This window comes from Homo sapiens, chromosome 10, assembly GCF_000001405.40.
Source record: "Homo sapiens chromosome 10, GRCh38.p14 Primary Assembly".
Classification (NCBI taxonomy): Eukaryota; Metazoa; Chordata; class Mammalia; order Primates; family Hominidae; genus Homo; species Homo sapiens.
Window position 1 is genome coordinate 8160425 of NC_000010.11, and position 22208 is coordinate 8182632.

The 22208-nt window shown below is 41.6% G+C and overlaps 2 long non-coding RNA genes and 1 pseudogene across 3 annotated transcripts in view; 2 read left to right on the forward strand and 1 right to left on the reverse strand.

Moving 5' to 3' along the window:
- PRPF38AP1 (PRP38 domain containing A pseudogene 1) lies at window positions 651–1970 on the forward strand (annotated as a pseudogene).
- A 10146-nt stretch (window positions 1971–12116) lies between these two features.
- Window positions 12117–21275, reverse strand: LOC107984206 (uncharacterized). Its single transcript, XR_001747361.2, has 3 exons — window positions 21080–21275; window positions 13454–13695; window positions 12117–12178 (listed from the first exon to the last, which is right to left on the reverse strand). It is a non-coding gene; the product is annotated as an uncharacterized LOC107984206 (long non-coding RNA).
- LOC107984205 (uncharacterized) overlaps window positions 20351–22208 on the forward strand; it is a 36994-nt gene continuing 35136 nt past the window's right edge. Inside the window, exons 1-2 of one of the 2 annotated variants that reach the window (XR_001747360.1) lie at window positions 20351–20599; window positions 21071–21256. This is a non-coding gene — a long non-coding RNA (uncharacterized LOC107984205). Of the gene's footprint in view, window positions 20600–21070; window positions 21257–22208 lie in introns of those variants that run through there. The other variant, XR_001747359.2, reaches the window with a different exon arrangement.

A 22208-nucleotide genomic window follows, 5' to 3' on the forward strand; every position in this document is an offset into this window, starting at 1 on the left:
GATCTCGCGAGAATTCACTATTAGGAGAACAGCACCAGTGAGATGGTGCTAAACCATTCCTGACAAATCCCACCCCACGATCCAATTACCTCCCACCGGACCCCATCTCCAACACCTCCAACACTGGGGATCACACGTTGAGATGAAATTTGGGTGGGGACATAGATTCAAACCATAGCATTTGGTAACTTCTTCTGTGAGAACAGCCACTCTAACCTATACTCTTTATCCCTGGACATGTGCAACTTCAGACCAATCAAACCATAAGCACATCCAACCAATCAGAACCCCCGAAAGCCCTGATGCCCACCACCAGGTCACTTAGAAGGTTGTTTATGCAATCATCAGAGTGCAGTAAGCAGATTGTAGAGCACTGATGTGGCGCTCTGTCAACAACACATCTTAGTGCTTATCAGCACTTTCAAGCATGTCCGGCTTTCTTTTGCTGTGTTATTAGTAGTCCATCTTTTCCCCATCTTTGTTACTGTTCCATTGCCTGGATTTTTTCCTACCATCTAAACTTCAGGACAGTGTGTCTAAGCCAAAGGGGCTATCTACATGGTAAAAACGATTGATCACCAGTTAACCGTAATAAAAATATTGTGCCTACTTAAAAAAAAGTAAGTGGAATTTATTTAAGAATTTGAGCGCTGCAGTGTTTCCAGTTTCAAGATGGTCTCCTAAGCTGTTTAGTGAAACTTCTTCCACCTTTCTCCATCCCTCTAGGTGGTTATTTATTTATTTATTTATTTATTTATTTATTTATTTATTTTTTCTGAACCTGGATGTAACACATTAAAGGACCCGACGCAAATAGAATCGAAGGCATTCTAAAATGGCTAACCGTACACTGAAGGATGCGCACAGCGTCCGCGGCACCAACCCTCAATATCTGGTGGGGAAGATCATTCGAATGCGAATCTGTGAGTCCAAGCACTGGAAAGAGGAGTGCTTTGGACTTATGGCTGAACTTGTAGTCGATAACGCCATGGAGTTAATGTTTGTGGGTGGCGAATATGGTGGCAACATAAAACCAACACCCTTTCTGTGTTTAATCTTGAAGATGCTTCAGATTCAATCCGAGAAAGGTATCACTGCAGAGTTTATAGAAAATGAAGATTTCAAGTATGTCCACATGTTGGGGGCACTTTACATGAGGCTGATGGGCACTGCAATTGATTGCTACAAGTACTTGGAGCCTTTGTACAATGACTATCGAAAAATCAAGAGCCAGAACAGAAATGGGGGTTTGAACTGATGCATGTAGATGAGTTTATTGATGAACTGGTGCACAGTGTGAGAGTCTGTGATATCACTCTGCCCCGGCTACAGAAACGCTAGGTATTAGAGGAAACTGAGCAACTGGAGCCTTGAGTTAGTGCTCTGGAAGAGGACATAGATGATGTGGAGTCCAGTGAAGAGGAAGAAGAGGAGGATGAGAAGTTGGAAAGAGTGCCATCACCTGATCGCCTCCGGAGAAGCTACGGAGACTTGGACAAGCCCCGTCCATCTCCCACACTGTGCTACAGAAGGAGTAGGAGTCTGTCTCCCAGAAGGCGGAATCGATCTCCCAAAAGTAGAAGCCCCTTCTCCCGCCGAGAAAGGCATCCGAGCAAGGGTCCAAGACATCACCGCAGCAGATCCCGAGACCGGCGGCACAGATCCCGTTCCAAGTCCCCAGATCCTCACCGTAGTCACAGACACAGGAGCTACTCAAAATCTCCCAAAAGGTCTAAGAAGAGCCACAAGAAGAGCCGGAGAGGGAATGAGTAAGGGACTCAGTTTGGCTTTAGTCCAAATGGGCTCCTGTGGATACGAGGATATCTGTCTATGTGGAAGGATTAAGATCTTCCCAGGCAGCTATAAGAATATTTTAGTTTTTTCTTATCAAGTTTCTCAACCTTTATTTTCAATGAAGGAGGTGCTGAGTTTTATATCTCTTTTTAATCATAATCAACAACAGTTTCTGACCCAACTTACCTTGACTGTATTCAAACTTATGAGGGTAGAAAGGATCTGAAGGTTGGGGTTATGAATGACAAGGATTGGATGTGTCCACCTGATGACGTTTTCCCTTTTTATTAAACTGGACACACCTGTAAAAAAAAAAAATTTGAAAAGGGCAAAAACCTAATTAGGTCATGCACAAAGGGTAAAGACAGGCGACTTGAAGAATACAGTTTCTCTCCTGTAGGTTTTTGCCTGGAGCCTTGCCACCTCTTGATCTGCTTGTGTGGTGTTTTCTTTCCTCCTTAATCTCCAAAGGATGCAGCTTCATACTCTGGACAGGAAAGGGGCCAGCTGTAGGGTGAATGTCAGAGAAAGCCAGAAAGGAGAAGGGGAGTTCTTTCAAGTCAACACATGATGGGCGTACACACAATGGAAATGAAGCTCCCCACTGCCATTAAAAATATTATTTCTCACCGTGTTTAACCACCAAAGGGGTCTATGCAAAAGCTGATACTGATGCAGTTCTGAGTGGGTTCTGATTTTATTGACATGACTTCCATGATTTTCTAAATACTGTATCTTTCTTTTTCTTCCTGGATCCAGGGTTAGCCATCAGGATGCGACTGTGTGGGCGACCTTAATATTTCTCAAAGTGACAAGTGTTTCTTTCTTTCTTTCCTTTTTTTTTTTTTTTTTTTAAATACAAGGAGTCTCGCTCTGTTGCTAGGCTAGAGTGCAGTGGCGCAATGTCAGCTCACTGCAACCTCTGCCTCCCGGGTTCTGTCTCAGCTTCCCAAGTAGCTGGGACTACGGGTGCGTACCACCATGCCCAGCTAATTTTTGTACTTTTAGTAGAAATGGGGTTTCACCATGTTGGCCAGGATGGTCTTGATCTCTTGACCTCATGATCTGCCTGCCTCGGCCTCCCAAAGTGCTGGGATTACAGGCATAAGCCACCGCACCCAGCCTCTGTTTTTGACCCAGAAGCAGTGGGGTTGCTGGTGAGGAGAACACAAATGTAGATATTAAACAGTTGACACTTGCCTATTGGTTTTTCAATACTACCCACCTTTTCTTTTTTGAAAAATAATGGACTTATATGTTTTCTTGGGGATCTCTATCTCAATTTTACTCTTTACAGATTCACCAACAAGAGCTTATGAACACACTCAAGTGTGTCCTGTTTTCTCCTCCCATGTTATTAACAGTCCATCTCTTCCTCACCTCTGTTACTGTTTCATTGCCTTGATTTTTTTGGTCCAACTTAAACTCCAGGACAAGCCAAAGGGGTTATCCAAAGGTCTCAGTTTTACTACCTTTTTTGTTTCTTTGTTTTTTAAAGGATTATCCTTGCAGTCAACCAACAAACCAATTGCCTGAACCAATGAGAGGTAAGTGCCAAGTGGCACAAAAAGAGCAGAATATTCCAAAGGCTCCTGTGCACCTGCAAGTCTGGTGGCCAGATATGACAAGTTAGTGCTTCTTTGTTTGTTAGCCTTCCAGAGAGAGCTGTCCCCACAACAGTCATTGGAAGTGTACTTGAGAGGATTTTAAGTAAATACCACCATGAGGCCAATGTGTGCGAACTGTCAATTTGTATTTCTATGATGTGTGACTGTGCTGAAGCAGGCACCATGAATCATTCAGGATTACCCTTACGGAGAGCCTCTAATTCTGCCTGAAGGATTAGGGAAGCAGGGTTCAAATGCCATTCATCAGCCCTGTCTTTCAGGGAGCACTAGTAAAGTCATCCTGTGCCTGACCTACAGTTGAAGCACTCAATTTCTGAGTCTCAGAGAAAGGTCACCTAAAGGTAATGGAATATTTTTGTCAAGGTAGCAAAGTCCTGCTCCCTAAGCTGGCTTGGGAAAATACTCTCTGGGACCGAAGATGAGGAGGAGGGGAGACTCTTAGGGAGAAGAGAGACAATGGTTCATTGCTCTGGGTATTTCTGAAAAAGGTCTTCCTGAATCATAGGTATTAATGCTGCTTTTAAGGGTATTCCTACTGAAATGCAATGTTAAAATCTTCTCAAAGGAGAGTACATTCACTATCAAGTAGATGCTAAACAGACGAATAGGAGACGTTTTTTCAACAAGTAGTTTGCAATTCCCTTCCTTTTGTATCTTCTCGGTTCAGGCCTTTGGATAGTATCTGGATCTTTTTTGTGCTTGGCAACCTTAATTATTCTCTGTTAATCACTCTGGGTGTTTGACTGATTAGATTTATATTTAAATACTGAACCAACTTTTACAGAGCAGTGGACTTTATGGAATCATTAAGAATGAGACTAAGAAGTTCAATGTAAAGAATGTATATACCCAAAGGAATATGAATCATTCTATCATACAGACACAATCATACATATGTTCATTGCAGCATTATTCACAATAGCAAACTAAATGCCAATCAGTGATAGACTGGATAAAAAAATGTGGTACATATATACCATGGAATACTATGCAGCCATAAAAAAGAATGAGATTATGTCCTTTGCAGGAACATGGATGAAACTGGAGGCCATTATCCTTAGCAAACTAACACAGAAACAGAAAACCAAATACTGCATGTTCTCCCTTATAAGTGGGGGCTAAATGATGAGAACACATGGACGCATAGAGGGGAACAACACACACTGGGACCTGTTGGAGAGTAGAAGTTGGGAGGAAGGAGAGGATCAGGAAAAATAACTAATGGGTACTAGGCTTAATACCTGGGTGATAAAATAATCTGTACAACAACCCCCTGAGACACAAGTTTACCTAACAAACCTGTACTTGTACCCCTGAACTTAAACTAAAACTTAGAAAAAATGAATGAAATAGCCTAGGTTTGGGATTTTAATATTTGGTGTTGTCTTCAATGACTCGCCCCAAATATTTTGTAATTGTTGTGAAGACATTTTCATCATGGCTGATGGCTTTTGGCACAGTGGATCACTCCTGGACATGCTTTTACTCTTGGCCTCCTGCATGGTGTCCTACTCTGGCTCTTCTTCTACCCCACCTCCCTGGCTTCTTCATGTTGGGATGCCCTAAGGCTCTTCTCTTGGCCCCTTATGTTCTCTCTCTCTCTCTTTTTTTTTTTTTTTTGAGGCGGAGTCTTGCTTTGTCACCCAGGCTTGGGTGCAACAGCACGACCTCGGCTCACCGAAACCTCCACTTCCCAAGTTCAAGCGATTCTCATGCCTCAGCCTCCCGAGCAGCCGGGGTTACAGGCACCCATCACCATGCCTGGCTAATTTTTGTATTTTTAGTAGAGACAGAGTTTCACCATGTTGGCCAGGCTGGTCTCGAACTCCTGACCTCAAGTGATCTGCCCACCTCAGTCTCCCAAAGTGCTGGGATTACAAGTGTGAGCCACTGTGCCTGGCCCCTTATTTTCTCCATCCATACTTGTGCCTTAGTGATTCATCTTGCCTCATGCACTTAAGCATCATCTAGAAACTGGTGACTCCAAAATTTACAACTCCAGACTGGACCTCTCTTTTGAACTCTAAACTCATATTTTGACCTGCTTCCTCAAGATTCCCACTTGGGTTTTCAAATTTAACCTGTCTAAAACTGACATCCAAATGATCACCTCTCCAAACCTACTCCCACTACAACCTTCCTCATCTCAGCTCATGGAAATGCTACTATTTTCATTTCTTAGGCCAAAATTCATTTATACCCCTAGCACAGATCTGTCTCATGAACTCCAGACTCATATTTTCAGTTGCCAACTCGACTTCTCTACCTGACTGTCTCACGATCATCACAAACTTCTATCCAAGGCTAACTCCTCCAAACACAACCCAGCTGTAGCCCCACTCATGGCTCCTTGGTGGATGCTAATTCTACCTTTGCATAGGTCAAAAATCATGGAGTTATCCTTGACTTTTTTCTTTCTCCCGCATCCACATTTAAACTGTCAGCAGATCCTGTTGGCTTAGCCTTCAGAGCTTATCTATAACTTTATTGCTTCTCACTCCTCCTCCCTGTTTCTAACCACATCACCTTTCTCATGATAGTGCATATCACGTTTTTTTTTTTTGAGAGAGAATATTTCAGGACACATGGAAATTATGTAAAATTTATTTATTTAGTTTATTTATGGAGATAGGGTCTCGCTCTGTTGCCCAGGCTGGAGTGCAGTGGCATGATCTTGGCTCGCTGCAACCTCTGCCTCCCAGGCACAAATTATTCTCCTGAGTAGCTGGGACTACAGGTGTGTGCCACCACGCCTGGGTGATTTTTGTATTTTTTTGTAGAGATGGGGTTTCATCATGTCGCCCAGGCTGGTCTCAAACACCTGGGCTCAAGTGATCTGCCAGCCTCAGACTCCCAAAGCGTTGGGATTACAGGCATGAGCCACTGAGCCCAGCTGATATTTCAAAGATCTTTATTCTTAGTCTTTTCACTCTGTATGGTGTCTTCTGATGGACTGAAGTTCTTCATTGCAGTGTGGTTGAATTTAACAACCATATTTTTTATGGTTTGTTTTTATATGTCATGTTTTAAAAAGTATTTTCTACCTTGAGGTCATTAAGATATTTGCTTATTTTTCCTTTTACAAGTTGTATAGTTTTGCCTTATAAATTTAGGTATTTTAATCAACCTGGAATTGGCATTTGTGTATAGTGCATTTCTTAATTTCCAAATACCCAAGAGTTTTCTAGTTAACTTTTCATTTTTGACTTGTAGCTTAATTACATTGTGGTGAGATAATGAGAATCTCTATGATAATCTTTGAAACTTGCTGAAACTTGCTTTATAGCTCGGCATATGGTCAATCTGTGCACAAGCTTGCAAAGAACATGTATTCCACGGTAACTGGGTGAAGGGTCCTACATGTGTCTATTAGGTAAGACTTGTTTATTATGTTGTTCAAAACTTTCTTATTCTTTCTTATTTTTATGTGCTAGATATATCAGTTATTGAATGAGTTGTGTGAAAAATCTTTCACTATGATTCTAGATTGTTTTTTCTTACAATTTTGTCAGTTTCTGCATTATGTATTTTAAGACTGTGCTATGAGATACAAACAGATATGCAATTATTATATCTTCTTTGTGACTTTATTTTCTCATATTTATGAAGAGATCTTTCAAAAATTAAATAGCTGAGATTAATATATCTTATACCATATACTTTTCTTTTGGCCAATACTTAAATGCATATTCTTTTCCATCCCTTTATTTTTCACCTCTCTTTATCTTGTTTTAGATGTGCAGTTTGCAAAAAGCTTATGGTCAAATTTCATTTCATTTTATCTGCTTGAATTAGTCTGTTCTTATGCTGCTAATAAAGGCATATCAGAGACTGGGTAATTTATAAAGGAAAGAGGTTTAATTGACTCACAGTTCCACATGGCTGGGAGGCCTCACAATCATGGCAGAAGGCAAAAGGGAAGCAAGACATGTCTTACATGGCAGCAGGCAAGACAGCTTGTGCAGGTGAACTCCGATTTATAAACCCATCAGATCTCATAAGACTTATTAGGTGCCACAGGAACAGTATGGGGGAAATTGGCTCCATGATTCAATTATCTCCACCTGGCCCTGCCCTTGACATGTGGGGATTATTACAATTCAAGGTGAGATTTGAGTGGGGACACAGAGCCAAACCATATCACTGGTCTACCAATCTTTGTCTTTTAATGAGAAGCATTTAGTCTATGAATTATAAATGTAATTGCCCATGTATATGTGTTTAAATCTTTTATAGTACTTTTTATTTTCTGTTTGTCCCTTCTTTCTCTTATTTCTTGCCTTTTTTCTCATTCTGTTTTTTCCTTTACCTGGAATTTGTATATATTATTTCCATTTTGTCACTAGCCTAGAAATTAAAACATGCTTATTAGTTTAACAATGCCTAAGTTAAATGATACTTCATTTTCCTCTCAAAGACACTTAGAACACAGTAACTGCAATTATATTTCTCCTAATTTATCTGATATCATTGTTTTGTATTTTAATTCTATTTTTTAAACCTCTCAGGACATTTTAATTGCCTGATGCAGTCTTAGTTTCGATTTCCCACATTATAATATATTCCATCTTGAAGCTTAGAGATTCTCTCTTGCAGTCTGGAATTACTTTTCTTTTTCCTGAAGTACAACCTTTAGATTTTTTTTTGTAGGGTCTGTTGGTGGCAGACTCTGGTTTTGCATGTCTGAAAATGTCTTTGTTTTGTCCTCATTCTTGGACGATATTTTTGCTGGGTATAGAATTCTAAGTTAATAGTCTTTTCTTTTCCCCCAGCACATCAAGGATGTAATTTCAATGTCTTCTCTTGCTGCAGTTGAGAAGCTAGCCGTTAGTTTGTCACTCCCTTGAGGATTATCTGTCATTTCTTTTTGGCTACTTTAAAAATCTTTTTCTTGGATATTTTGCACATTCACTATGATGTCTAGCTGTGGATTTCATTTTATGTATCTTGCTTTAGATTCTCTTGTCTTCTTGAATTGGAGTGATGTCTATTATCAGTTCTGTAAAGTTCTTCTCAATTATCTCTTTTAAATATTGTGTCTTCTACATTACTTTTCTTTCTTCCTCTAGAACTCTGATTACACCCTAAAAATTGGGAGCATTATTAGTCTTCTGTCTTATCCCCATCTTTCTTATTCTCTCTTTCTTGTCTCTGTAACTTTCTCTCTCTTGCTTCAGTCTGAATAATTTCTTCAGAATCATCCTTCAGTTCATTAATTCTTTCTTCACCTGTGTCTAATCTGTTCTTATACCTGCTTTTGTTTTAATTTTAATTATTCTTATTTTTATTTTTAACAGGTTTATTTAATTATTCAAATCTGTGTAATAATTCTTTATACATTTTTAGGCCCTCCAAATATTTTCAATTTTGTCCTTTGTTAATTAGACATAGTAAACTTAATTATTTAATATTCTGCTTCTGATAATTCCAATATCTGAAAACTTCCACAATCTTTTTCTTCTGACTGCTGTGTCTTCTGTTTCTCCATCAAGTGTTTAGTGACTGTTTCCCTCTGAGCTGCTCATGGTCCATGGAATTTTATTTTTGGTAATTCTTTGATGTGGGGGGTGAAGCAGAGTCTCTTCAGAGAGTATTTATATATGCTTACTGTACTTCATTGATCTTGGGATTACTTTAAATACATTCTCAATATGAGGTATTTAAAAAAATTTTATTCCTCTCTCTCTCTGTCTCAATATTTAGATACAATAAATTCAAGCTACAAATCCACACTGGGGCTAGCCTGTCATGAGAACTCAGGGTCTGGCATTCCTGTTCTTCCTAGACCCTGCTCTGGGGCTGTAGATGAGAAAGTGCCCACCTTGGGCAGGTCCTGGCCTTCATCTCCTATACCCTTTACCCCATACGGATTTGCCAGCTCATTGATTCTTTTAAGGAGATGACATTTCTTTTCATGCAGAATTTTAGTTCTTTTCAGCAAGTGAGCCATTTTAGGAGATGAGCACACCATGTTTCCAGCGTGTACCCATTTCATTTTTAAATAGTGGCAATTATAGGACATAATACCTCTCCAAGAGCTTTTACTGTATTATTTCAAAAAATATTTATTAGCATATCTGTCCCACTCGATACATATATAACTTTATATATGTATATATAATATGTATATAAATAACTTTATATATGTATATACTATATGTGTGTGTGTGTGTGTGTGTGTGTGTGTAATTTTGCCCTGGATACAATGAGATGTGATTCTATAGATTTCAACACGTAGTGAGTATTGATGAAGAGTTCAGTTCTGAAAATATTTATTGATACTTAGTCCTCGTGAGTAAAGCACTGTACTTGTGACTGGGGTGTGCTGAAGACAGATGAATGGCATCATTCCTGCCCTTCAGAAGCTCCAAATCTAGTATTGGAGATAGGCATTAAAACTTTTAAAAAAATTTTACTTTTGCAGACAGGGTCTTACTCTCTTGCCCAGGCTGGAGTGCAGTGGTGTGACCACAGCTCACTGCAGCCTTGAACTCTTAGGCTCAAGCAATCCTCCTGCCTCCGCCTCCCAAGTAGCTGGGACTAGAGTCATGCACCACCACACCCAGTTAATTAAGAATTTTTTTTAGAGATTGGGTCTTGCTATATTGCCCAGACTGGTCTCAAACTCCTGGACTCAAGCAATCCTCCTGCCCCAGCCTCCCAAAGTGTCGAGATTACAGGCACAAGCCACTGTTCCCAGCCAATATTAACTTTTATACTGGAGAACCCAATGATAAATGCTGTAGTGGAGGATGTACAACAAAGAACGGTGAGATTATAGGTGTGGAACAGACTGGGTGGGGGCAGGAGAGAGGGCATTTATGAGAGAGGTCATAGCTGTTTGAGCAAAGACATGGAAATGGGAAGATGCAGGACATGCTGGGGAAATGCTGAGTGTCCTGGGTGGGTGAACCTGAGTGTGGGAGTGTATGCTCGTGGCCATGCGTGTGAGTGTGTGGGCAGCAACTGTGATGCTGAGGAGATGGTGATGGGCATCATGGTAAAAAGAAAGGCTAGAAAGGAGTATATTAGTCACAGTTCTTGGAGAAGCAGAACTTGGAGAATGTGTGTGTAAGTGTGAGTGTGTGTGTGTGAGTGTGAGTGTGTGTGAGTGTGAGTGTGAGAGTGTGTGTGTTGGCTCAAGTGATTGTGGATGTCTTGTGAGTCCAAAATCTGATGATGGAGGTCTGCAGGCTGGAGACTCATGAAAGAGCTGTCATTTGAGCATGAAGGCTGTCTGCTGGGAAACCAGGAAGACCTCCTGCTGCAGATGCAGTCTGAAGGTGTCTGTGGAGAAGCTCCTCTTGCTTGAGCAAGTTCAGCCGTTTTGTTCTATTCTGGTCTTCAACTGATCAGATGAGGCCCACCCACATTAGGGAGGGTGATCTGCTTTAATCAAAGTCCACTGATTTAACTATTAATCTCACTCCAAAACACCCTCCCAGAAGCACCCAGAATATTATTTGACTGAATATCCAGACACCATGGCCAGGCGAAGTGGACACACAAGATCAATTGTCACAGGTAGGTTCTAGCAAAACTGTAGAAGAGTTTGAATGCCATTATGAGGAGATGGGATCCTCTCTTCTATTCAACTGAAAGATGGAACTATTTTGAGTAGGATGATAACCCAGGTAAACGTACCAAGGGTGGGCAGGAGGGCAGAGAAAAATATTCCAAAGGTGAGACATTGTTCTTAGGAAAGGATGGAATGGATTCTGTCTACTATTAGTTTTGGGTCTGTGGATGAATTATTTCATTCCTAGAGTTTGTTTTCTCATCTGAAAAATGAGAACAAAAACAATCTGGGCGTGGTGGTGCACGCCTGTAGTCCCAGCTACTTGGGAGGCTGAGGCAGGAGGATTGCTTGAGCCTGGGAAGTCGAGGATGTAGTCAGCTATGATCATGCTACCATATTCCAGCCTGGGTGACAGAGTGAGACCCCATTTCCAAAACGAGCAACAAACAAATAAACAAACAAACAAAACAAAATGAAAAGAAAACTGGGATTTGCTTCATAGTGTTGTAAACACCTAGTTGAAGAATGTGGGCTCACTGCCTGCCTCTGCCTTCCTGCCCTGGTGAGCTAGCAGGCATGGGCTGAGAATGACTCTGTAGTAGCCAGGCTTCAAGGTGGCCCCCAGGGGCCCCTGCTGCCCATTGTATCAGGGCTGGTCTGCAAGACCAACAGTGTTTGGCGAAGTGATGTGCCATTTCTGAGATTAGGTTATAAAAGACTTGGGCTTCTACCTTGAGCATTCTCCACTCATTGCCTCTCCATCCCTCTTGGGTCCCTGGCTTCTGGGTAAGCTGGCTGCCACTCTAGGGAGAGGCCTTGGTGGGAAGACACTAAGGCCTCAAACCAACAGCCAGAGAGGAACTTAGAGCCAATGCCATGTGGGGGAGCTTGGGGGACGCTGTTGAACTGTCCCATGACTGCGTCCTGGTTGATTGATTCCAACTTCATGAGTGACCCAGCTCATCCACTCCTGGATTCTAGACCCACAGAGAACTTGTTCATTTTGAGAAAAATCTTTGCCGTTTCAAGCTGCTAAGTTTTGGTAATTCATTATGCATCAGTGGATTGCTAGTAGAATGCTACTGGCATTCAGCAAATACCTGCAATCTTGGAATATGCGAGATGCAAGGAGGGAGCAGGAACTTAGCACTCTATCCTTTTCCAGGTAGAGTTGGTGCATCGCGGGGCACAAGGGAAAAGGGACTTCAGATGGGGTGGAGTTTATGAGAAGAGAAATCTGGAAAGAAAAAGAGGAGAGTTAGGGCATGAATATTCTCTGATGACCTTGAGAACATGTGTGTGTGATGCCCAAGACAAGGCTGAGGAAATAAGGCTGTGCCCTTGACACAGTGCGAAGGAATGAAGTGGTGGGCTCACGTGCACAGTACCCCTGGGCAGCACCCCCACCATGACATACATGCACGCACACTCACACGCATGCACGCACACGCATGCACACACGTGCATGCACACACACATGCATGCACACACACATGCACACAGACACACATGCATACACTTTTTGTTTTTTGATGGAGTCTTGCTCTGCCACCTAGGCTGGAGTGCAGTGCTGTGATCTCAGCTGACTGCAACAGCCACCTCCCAGGTTCAAGCAATTCTCCTACCTCAGCCTCCCAAGTAGCTGGGATTGCAGGCATCCACCATGATGCCTGGCTAATTTTTTTGCAGTTTTATTAGAGACAAGGTTTAACCATGTTGGCCAGGCTGTTTCCGAACTCTGGAACTCAAGTGATCTGCCCGCCTCGGCCTCCCAAAGTGTTAGGATTACAGGTGTGAGCCACCACACCCGGCTACATGCACACACTTTGAATGACCATCCCAGGCTTCCACTTGCCTATACTGAACCTGTGTGTGAACTAGAGCAAGGTTCTCTTCTGGACAGTCAATTTAGAACAAGGAGCCACCCCTAGGCATCCTTGGGCCTACAGGCACATGGCTTGGCAAGGAGACTACACCTTTTTGTGGGGAAAAAGCGTCTCTTCTTCCACATGGACACATACCAGTGCCAAGGCTCAGGGCTTGGCAAACAAAACACAGGCTGAACCTCAGACTGCACTTTCCCCTGTGTCAGCCGCCTTGTGCAATGCATAAACCGGACAACTATACTACAACTTGCAGCCACCTGAATGTTTCTGTAAAAAGCTGCTAGACATTTATATGAATTTGGTTCAGGGAAGGGAGCAGGGCTAGAGGTTTTTAGCATCAGAATCAGTAAAGAGTAGTTCTGTTTTGCAGAGCAGTGGCTCATTATGGACTCTGGACAGTGAGGAGTGTCAATACCCTGATGATAATCTGTGTGGGACACCAGTGATGATTCTCATGTTTTCCTGTCCCCTGAGGATGGCATGGAAGACACACTGCAGGGCTGCAGGAGGCCTGCCATCCGGGTACATGTAAATAGCAGCCAAGTGTTCACCCCATGCTGCTCCCTTGAAGAAATCCAAGGTGCCTTCCAATTTTTAAAATCAAAATGCCAACTTTCTGTTCTTACCTTTCCTGCAGATTCCTCTGTTATATATAAAGCTTAGACAAAGAAGCTCTTAGTGTCTTTATGGTTTTGAACCAAACAAACAAACTCATAAATATAAGGGCCAAAGATCATTGTAGGATGCCACTGAGTTGCTCAAAGTTCAGGTTTATGGTTCATGGCTGGTCACATGACATTCAGTGGTGAGAGTGCAGGGAATGTCGTTCATTCATCCACCATGGACTAAGGCCAATCACGTGTCATGCCTAGTGGTAGAAATAGGTATATAAATAGATATTTCTAATACAAAATCCTCTTATCGAGAAGCTTTCTAATGTGTCTTGGCCACTAGAAAAACATGGTGGGTCTAGAGAAAGAAAAATAATTTTCTTCTTTCAAAGGTAACGCATTAACCTCTTTGTAATCATTTGGCAGCTAGTATCTAGGTTAAGGGCAACTGATTTACGTAAGATGAGCAATAAAGAAAATGCATTAAAAGGAATTTGTCCAGATTTCCACTTTGTAGTGAGTGGCAAGAAACCAAAGCAAAACACAACAAAACGAAAACCCCGCAAGTATAACTAGCAGAAAAAGCTTGGGATTCCAATGGTATTTTTAGTCTTTTGAATTAATCTACAGGTAAATGACTTGAACCAGTATGTCAAAAGTGACTGGGCATAGTGGAATACAGAAATGGGCGCTGAGGACAAAGACGGCTCAAGGTCTTACACAGATCAGGAGCACCAGCAAACTTTGAGTCACTTTGAGAATTTTGAAAGGAAATGTAAAGTAGTGGCCCTGAGGATAGGATTAAATGTAATAATCATGTTTTGTGGAAGGGTAAATGGCAAAAACACAGCGTGGGCAAGATAGGCTGATTTCATGTACAATGCACATTCGCTGAAGTAATATTTAGAAGCAGAAAAAATGGATACGTCTTGGGAAGGGGAATGTAATAAAACCCCACATCAACAGCAAATTATTTTGTCACGTGAAGCTGATGCAACATGAAAAATGGATGAGAAGTGCGGTACCTCCTGTTGCGATCGTGTAGAACATGTGGGCAGCTACAGAGCAGAGCTGTCTCCCATGAGAATTCATAGCATTAGGTTACAGCCCTGGCTGGACCAATGCAGGGACAGCTCCTGCAAGCTGGACGCAGTGGAAGGTGAGGGGCGGGCCACGGGTGGGGGAAGTGGGAGTGCATGGGGAGGGGCCTCTGGCCAGGAGCTCTCTGGGACTGCCTGGTGGAGAGTTTATACCTGGTTATACCAGGAAATGCTCTGTCTTGTGCTGATTCACTATTTGGACTTTAAAATCTGGTAATTACAAGGGCAACAACTTCACATTCATTTTGGTCACTTTTATACATTTCGGTAAATTCAGTATTTGGGGGGCTATTACCCAGGACAAAGAAATCGGGTTAACAGAATGCAGGAGATGCTTTTGAGCACGTGCTCCTGATTGTACAGATTCTCCCGTTTGGCCAGGCACGGTGGCTCGCACTTGTAATCCCAGCATTTTGGGAGGCTGGAGCAAGAGGATTGCTTGCTTCCAGGAGTTTGAGACCAGCTTGGGCAACATAGTGAGACCCTGTCTCTACAAAAAATAAAAAATTAGCCAGATGTGGTATGCATGCCTGTGGTCCTGGTTACTCAGGAGGCTGAGGTGGGAGGATGGCTTGAGCCCAGGAGGTGGAGGCTGCAGTGAGCTGTGATTGTGCCACTGCACTGAGACTGGGTGACAGGGAGATCATGTCTTGAAAAATCAAAAAGAAGATTCTCCTAGTAGATCTAGGTCTGGGGTAGTCTACATTTAATGCTACAATTTCTGTTCCTTCTTTTTCTTTTTATTTGTTTTTTGAGTCAGAGTCTCACTCTATCACCCAGGCTGGAGCACAGGGGCATGATCTCAGTTCATTGCAACCTCTGCCTCCCAGGTTCAAGCAATTCTTCTGCCTTAGCCTCCCAAGTAGCTGGGACTACAGGCATGCATTTCCATACCCAGGTAATTTTTTGGTATTTTTTAGTAAAGACAGGGTTTCACCAGGTTGCCCAAGCTGGTCTCAAACTCCTGACCTCAAGTGATCCGCCCACCTCAGCCTGCCAAAGTGCTGGGATTACAGGCCTGAGCCACCACACCCAGCCTTTTCCTTTTTTTTTTTTTTTTTAAGCATACACACACACACACACAAACACATAATGCATAATAACTATGTAAAATAAACTTAAACTCAAAATGTCTACTTTTGTAATCAAATTTTGTCATGCTGTTAGTCATGATTTAATGTAATCTTACCTTCAGACTGGACAAAAACAACTCTTTCTTTCTCAGCTCTAAATTCTTATTCTGGAAATGGACCCCAAATCTGAGATGGTAGCAAACCCAGTGCCCAAAGCCCCATTGGGATTTGTCTTCTCTTTCTAGTCATTCATCAGCCTTGGTCTCACATAGACTGTCCTTTGCTTTGGCTGTTCTATCCAGTTAAGAGACAAGCCTTAGTCGACTTTACTGTTAAGTATCTTCACCTAGGATAAAAATCTACCTTCTTTTGATCTTTTGGAGTCTTCTCTGAAGATGCATGTCAAGTGACAGGGCTCCTTTATATAGCAAGTGCTATATAAAGCCTATTTTATGAAAACATAAAACTATATTAAATATACAATAAAAAGTTTCCATGGCATGAACACACATCATGTGATCTCTTTTCATGTGCACTTATTCTTTTTCCCTTCTAAACTCTTGCACTCTGTGTCATAGGTGCATATCATTATGAATATAATATGTATAATTAAAAAAAGTATTTTAGCCCTATATCTTCAAATATATAATAAACCTGCTTGGATATAGACCAAATATGATAGTGCCCAGAGCAGCACTGACAAGATACGTTTTTGATTAATTAATTGGTTGATATTTTCCACTGGCATTTGGTTGATGCATTTAGGCAAAGAGAAAATCCATATTTGATTTACAGAGCCTAAATACATGTTGTGAATTTAGAGCAATCACATACATAAAAGTTACAGTTATCTGCCATTCATGGGAAATAACTGTATAAAAGACTCAAATTTGGCCAGGTGCGGTGGCTCACACCTGTAATCCAAGCACTTTGGGAGGCCAAGTGGGGAGGATTGCTTGAGCCCAGGAGTTTAAGACCAGCCTGGGCAATATATTGAGACCCTGTCTCTACAAAAAGTAAAAATAATTTAGCCAGGTATGGTTGTGTGAGCCTGCAGTCCCAATTACTTTGGAGGCTGAAGTGGGAGGCTCCCTTAAGCCAAAGAATTTGAGGCTGTAGTGAGCTATGATTGTGCCACTGTACTCCAGCCTGGGCAACAGAGCAAGACCCTATCTCTAATAACAACAACAAAGACTCAAATTTGCTATTTTGTTTTATATTATCAAAATTGTTTAAAATTGGAGTAGGTAGTAGAACATCTTTTCCAGGAGGTGTTTGGATAGTGTCTTAAATTATTTACTGTTCTGTTGGAAGGCTGTACTATCAACTGATTCTTTTTTTTTTTTTGAGATGGAGTCTTGCTCTTGTCATCCAGGCTGGAGTGCAGTGGCGCTATCTTGGCTCACTGCAACCTCTGCCTCCCAGATTTAAACGATTTTCCTGCCTCAGCCACCTGAGTAGCTGTGATTACAGGTGCCTGGCAACATACTTGGCTAATTTTTGTACTTTTAGTAGAGACGGGGTTGCACCATGTTGGCCATGCTGGTCTTGAACTCCTGACCTCTGGTGATCCACCTGCCTCGGCCTCCCAAAATGCTGGGATTACAGGCATGAGCCACCGCCCCCAGCCCAACTGATTCATTTTACAAAGATTTCTCTCTATCTCATGCCCTTACCTCATCTTCATTTAATGAGTTAAACCAAGGCTTTTTTTCCCCCCAGGCTGGAGTGCAGTGGTGCAATCATGACTCACTGCAGCCTTGACCTCCTGGACTCAAGTGATCCTTCCACCTCAGCCTCCTGAGTAGCTAGGACTACAGATGTGCACCATGATGCCCAGCTAGTTTGTCTTCATTTTGAGAGACAGAGTGTCACTATGTTACCCAGGCTGGTCTCGAACTCCTGGGCTCAAGCAATCCACCCACCTTGCTTTCCTGAAGTGCTGGGATTATAGGTGTAAACCACTGTGCCTGGCTAATAAAGGCTAATGACAGCTAAGAACAGAGCCACACAGAAAATGGGCAAGAGCATGGTTTACCCAGCCTTTGAATCAAATTCATACAATAATATACCAACATGAAGAAAAAATGATGGACAGAACTTGAGACCTGGAAAGACTAAGAATCCATAGATTAAGGTCCCCTTGAGTCATTTACATTAAATATATATATATATATATATATTATTACACAGAACATGCCTAAGATTTTGATTAATTCAAACTTAACCTAAGCCTAAAGAGCATAATCTGTCTTGGGATTTTACACCTAAGTGGTGGATCACTTTTGTGTTGAACTCACAAAACACATCATTATCATTCAACACATCATTATCATTTGAATAAAAGGGTGACATTTTTATTCAGGGGTGAACATATATGAAGACATGGAAAAGACCTACTGAGTAATTTGAAACTATCTAATTAATTTTTGATTTACTAGATAATCCATCATTTTTGGCTGGTATACTGCAAGGGGAATTTTCTACTAAAAACGTGTGTATATTTCTTTGATTCTCACTTGCTTCCTATAATCTTAAGTAGTTATCTAATGTAGACAGAACAAACTGAGGATTCTACATAAGACTATAGATAACTTGGGTGAAATGATGTACCTTGTTACAAATTATGTAATACAAATTTTGTATTATGTACAGTGTACATAAATGAAAAATTTTACCCAAGGACAGAATATATTGAATCCCAGCATATCCGATTACACCATGTAAATTAACAGTTAAAAGTGCAATTCCTTATGCCTTAACATTCCATTTCATCTTTTGACCGGCATTTTTCTGGAGCCTATGATACCATTAATTAAAAAAAGCCACTCTGGCCGGTTGCAGTAGTTCATGCCTGCAATCCCAGCACTTTGGGAGGCTGAAGCAGGTGGATCATGAGGTCAGGAGATTGAGACCATCCTGTCCAACATGGTGAAACCCCGTTTCTACTAAAAATACAAAGATTAGCTGGGCATGGTGGTGTGTGCCTGTAATCCCAGCTACTTGGGAGGCTGAGGTGGGAGAATCACTTGAATTGGGGAGTCGGAGGTTGCAGTGAGCTGAGATCATGCCACTGCACCCCAGAGTCTAGCCACAGAGCGAGCAACTCCTTCTCAGGTGGCTTCCCTCTAAGTTACGTCTTTGTGGATACTCTAGGTTTATGTCATTGCTTGAAGCTGTCCTCATGCTGATTCTTCTGCTGGGGGGAGGGGAGTGCTTCATTTTAGACTGTAACTGGCAGTTGGTAGGTGCCGTGCTGTCATCCGATAGTCTTAATGAATGTTACAGACACAGTCCTAGTGTTGATTTAATGGAGGTCCCTCTTTTCACAGATGGTAACACAGACACAGAGAAGCAAAGCCACTTGCTCAGCGTTCCACAGCTCGTTGGTGTCCAAGTCAAGCTTAGAATTAGGGTGTTGGTGTTCTGGCCATACTATATTTCTGCAATTTTTCCCCTTCAGCGTCACAATTCTGGCCTAATCTTGTTTCGTAATGTTGAAGCAATTCTTGTTTAAACCAAAAGGTATTCTGTTTATTACTTAAAGTGACATTTGGGTCCCCAGCCTTTAAAAAAATTTATTTTAAGTTCTGGGGTACATGTGTAGGATGTGCAGGTTTGTTACACAGGTAAACCTGTGCCATGGTGGTTTGCTGCACCTATCAACCCATCACCTAGGTATTAAGCCTGGCGTGCATTAGCTATTTTTCCTAATGCTCTCCCTCCCACCAACCCAGCCCCAGACAGGCCCCAATGTGTGTTTTTCCCCTCCCTGTGTCCATGTGTTCTCGTTGTTCAGTTCCCACTTATAAGTGAGAACATGTGGTGTTTGGTATTCTGTTCTTGTGTTAGTTTGCTGAGGATAATGGCTTCCAGCTTCATCCATGTCCCTACAAAGGATATGATCTTATTCCTTTTTATGGCTGCATAGTATTCCATGATGTATATGTACCACACTTTCTTTATCCAGTCTATTGTTGATGAGCATTTGGATTGATTCCATGTCTTTGCTATTGTGAATATATGCATAAAGATACTTATGCAAGCATGTATCTTTGTAATAGAATGATTTATATTCCTTTGGGCATATATCCAGTAATGGGATTGCTGGGTCAAAAGGTATTTCTGGTTCTAGATCTTTGAGGAATCTCCACATTGTCTTCCACAATGGTTGAACTAATTTACATTCCCACCAACAGTGTAAAAGTGAAGCGATTATTAATGCCATTATATCTGAAAATTTTGTGCATGTACATAACAAAAATAAGCACTCTTCTTAAATAAAAAGGTCACTTTTTACACAGAATCAGAACAGTTGGGACAGCAAGGCCTTCAATGATTCTCTTTTGTAGACCTTCCATAGGTAAATGACACTCTCCTCATTTTACTTGCTTTGAATTGTTCAGCTGAAATCTTGACCTACAAACATATTATATGTCAAGTGGCTAGAAAAACAGCAGGGGGGAAATCAGCTTTATTGCATTTCCTGTTAGGAGAATATCCTTAAATTATATCGAATTCTTGCCTTGTAAAGCACCATATGGCTCTTTTGCTTTCGTGGTGGCTGCTTTACCACACAGCCTCTTTGGAAAGTAATTAAATTGAACAGACACTGCCCTTGATTTAAAGTCAGAGGGAGAAGCAGTTAATTGAATAGAAATGACAGTTCTTTTTTTTTTTTAAAGGCTAGGCCAAGCTTACAGAAAACAAAAATATCAAAAGGGAATTGCCCTAAACAGTCAAGATGAATGATTTGCTTGGTGAATACGATTTATTCTCTTTCACTCGAACGCTTTCTCTCCAGGCAGGCAACAGTGGGACTTTGCGATTCCTCGTCACCTTGGTACAGAGGCTCTCTAACCTTTTCTCACTGGATTTTTCTGGTCCGTTTTCAGGTTGGAGGGTGAGGGTGACAGAAGCTGGGAAATGAAAGATGGGATTGTTTTCTTGTCATCCTGTATCCCTGCCACCTGGCGATGGTGTTTCTGGTGAGTGGAGATACATAATGGCTATCTCAATGCAACATGCTCCTTATTTCCTGGGGGTCAGGCACCAGGAGGACCAGGAGGGCAGAAGATCTGCTGAAATGTGACCCTATGTGGAATAGGGATGAGAGTCCCTGAGCTTGTAGAGGGGTCTGAGGAAATGACTTCAAGGGAAAGTTCACAGAACTCTGAAATCAATAGCTAAAAGTAAAAATGCTCATTTTCAAGAACAAAGTATCATTTAAATGCTCCCAGGGGGTGAATGAAGAGAAGGAGCTAATCCTTGTCAAGTGATGGATATAAAATAAAAACCCAAAGTGGAAAAAAAATCAAATTTCAATGCTAAAATCTACCGCCACATACAGAGAGAGCTGTAAGCTCCTAGGACATTTGTATTGAATTCTTCATAGCTTTTGCTTTTAAATGATATCCTTTTCATCTTTAGCTAAATCCTTAACCTTATGCACATCGCAGGAGAGTTACCTGGAACTTGATGGATCTGTACAGAGGAGAAGACTGAGTTGGGGCATCGGCAAAGACAGTGTTTCTCCATGCTCCCGTTATTCTTCCAGAGCTGTCAGGAGTGGAAATCATTTCACCTTTGCACTTAGAATAAAGCAACTCGGCATTAACAGTAAATTGGCTTCGGCATACTCTTAGGTAAGCAAGTGCTTCTGCCGGCCGAGTCCAGTTTTCTAGTCTGCAGGTCAGGGAGCAGGTTTGCGTAATCGTGGGGAAGGTGAATGTAGAGGAGGCGGGAGAGGCAGTCAGGAGAGATTCAGGTAAGTCTTGGCTTGGCTACGAATGAACTGTCTTTTAGGGGATGCCAACTTCCCTCTTGAAGCAACAGTTCCCTTATTGCTATAAAGTGAAGGCATCAGGGCTGATGATCTCTAAGCTCCTTTTAGCCCTGACATGGCTGTGTGCCAGGCCTCTTCACACCTACCCACTGTGTGTAAATGGCGGAGTCACACACAAGCTCACACCACCAGGCACTGGCTGACTGAAGGGGGTGATCTGAGATGGGCCTAGATTTAAGCTGGGATCACAGGCTTCCAATGTAGGTGAATTATTTTTAAGCAGCTCCTATATTTTAGGGACAAGTGCACAAAATGAGAGAATTCTTCCCTGCAAAAGGGAATTGATCTGCAATTTCAAAGCATAAAAAAAGTGATATTTTTGTTCAGGAAGGGTTGATAACTTTTCCGTACAAAACATTTGCAAGTTACAGTCTTTCTAAATTCCTTAATCATAAAATAAAGATATTGGCCTGGGGATTTAAGCACTATCTCCCAATGTGCATTTTGCAGTGAAATTTCAAGAACTAATAACAAATGTCTGGGGGTGGGGGTGGGGGAAGGACCCTGCTTATAAACTAGGCTATGTGGGCATCATTACTACTGGACTTCCGAAAAATTTTAATATGCTAATAGTACATTTCAAACTTTTAAGGTGGGAATATAGTATTTACTTAACTCATTTAATTATAATTCCTTTAATTATAGTTAATCTTTCCCCCACAAACTCATGATTATTATTTTTTTGGGGGCAGGTTAAAGGCAAAGTTTTATTAAATAGAATGCAAAGACATCAATCATAAAAGAAAATAACA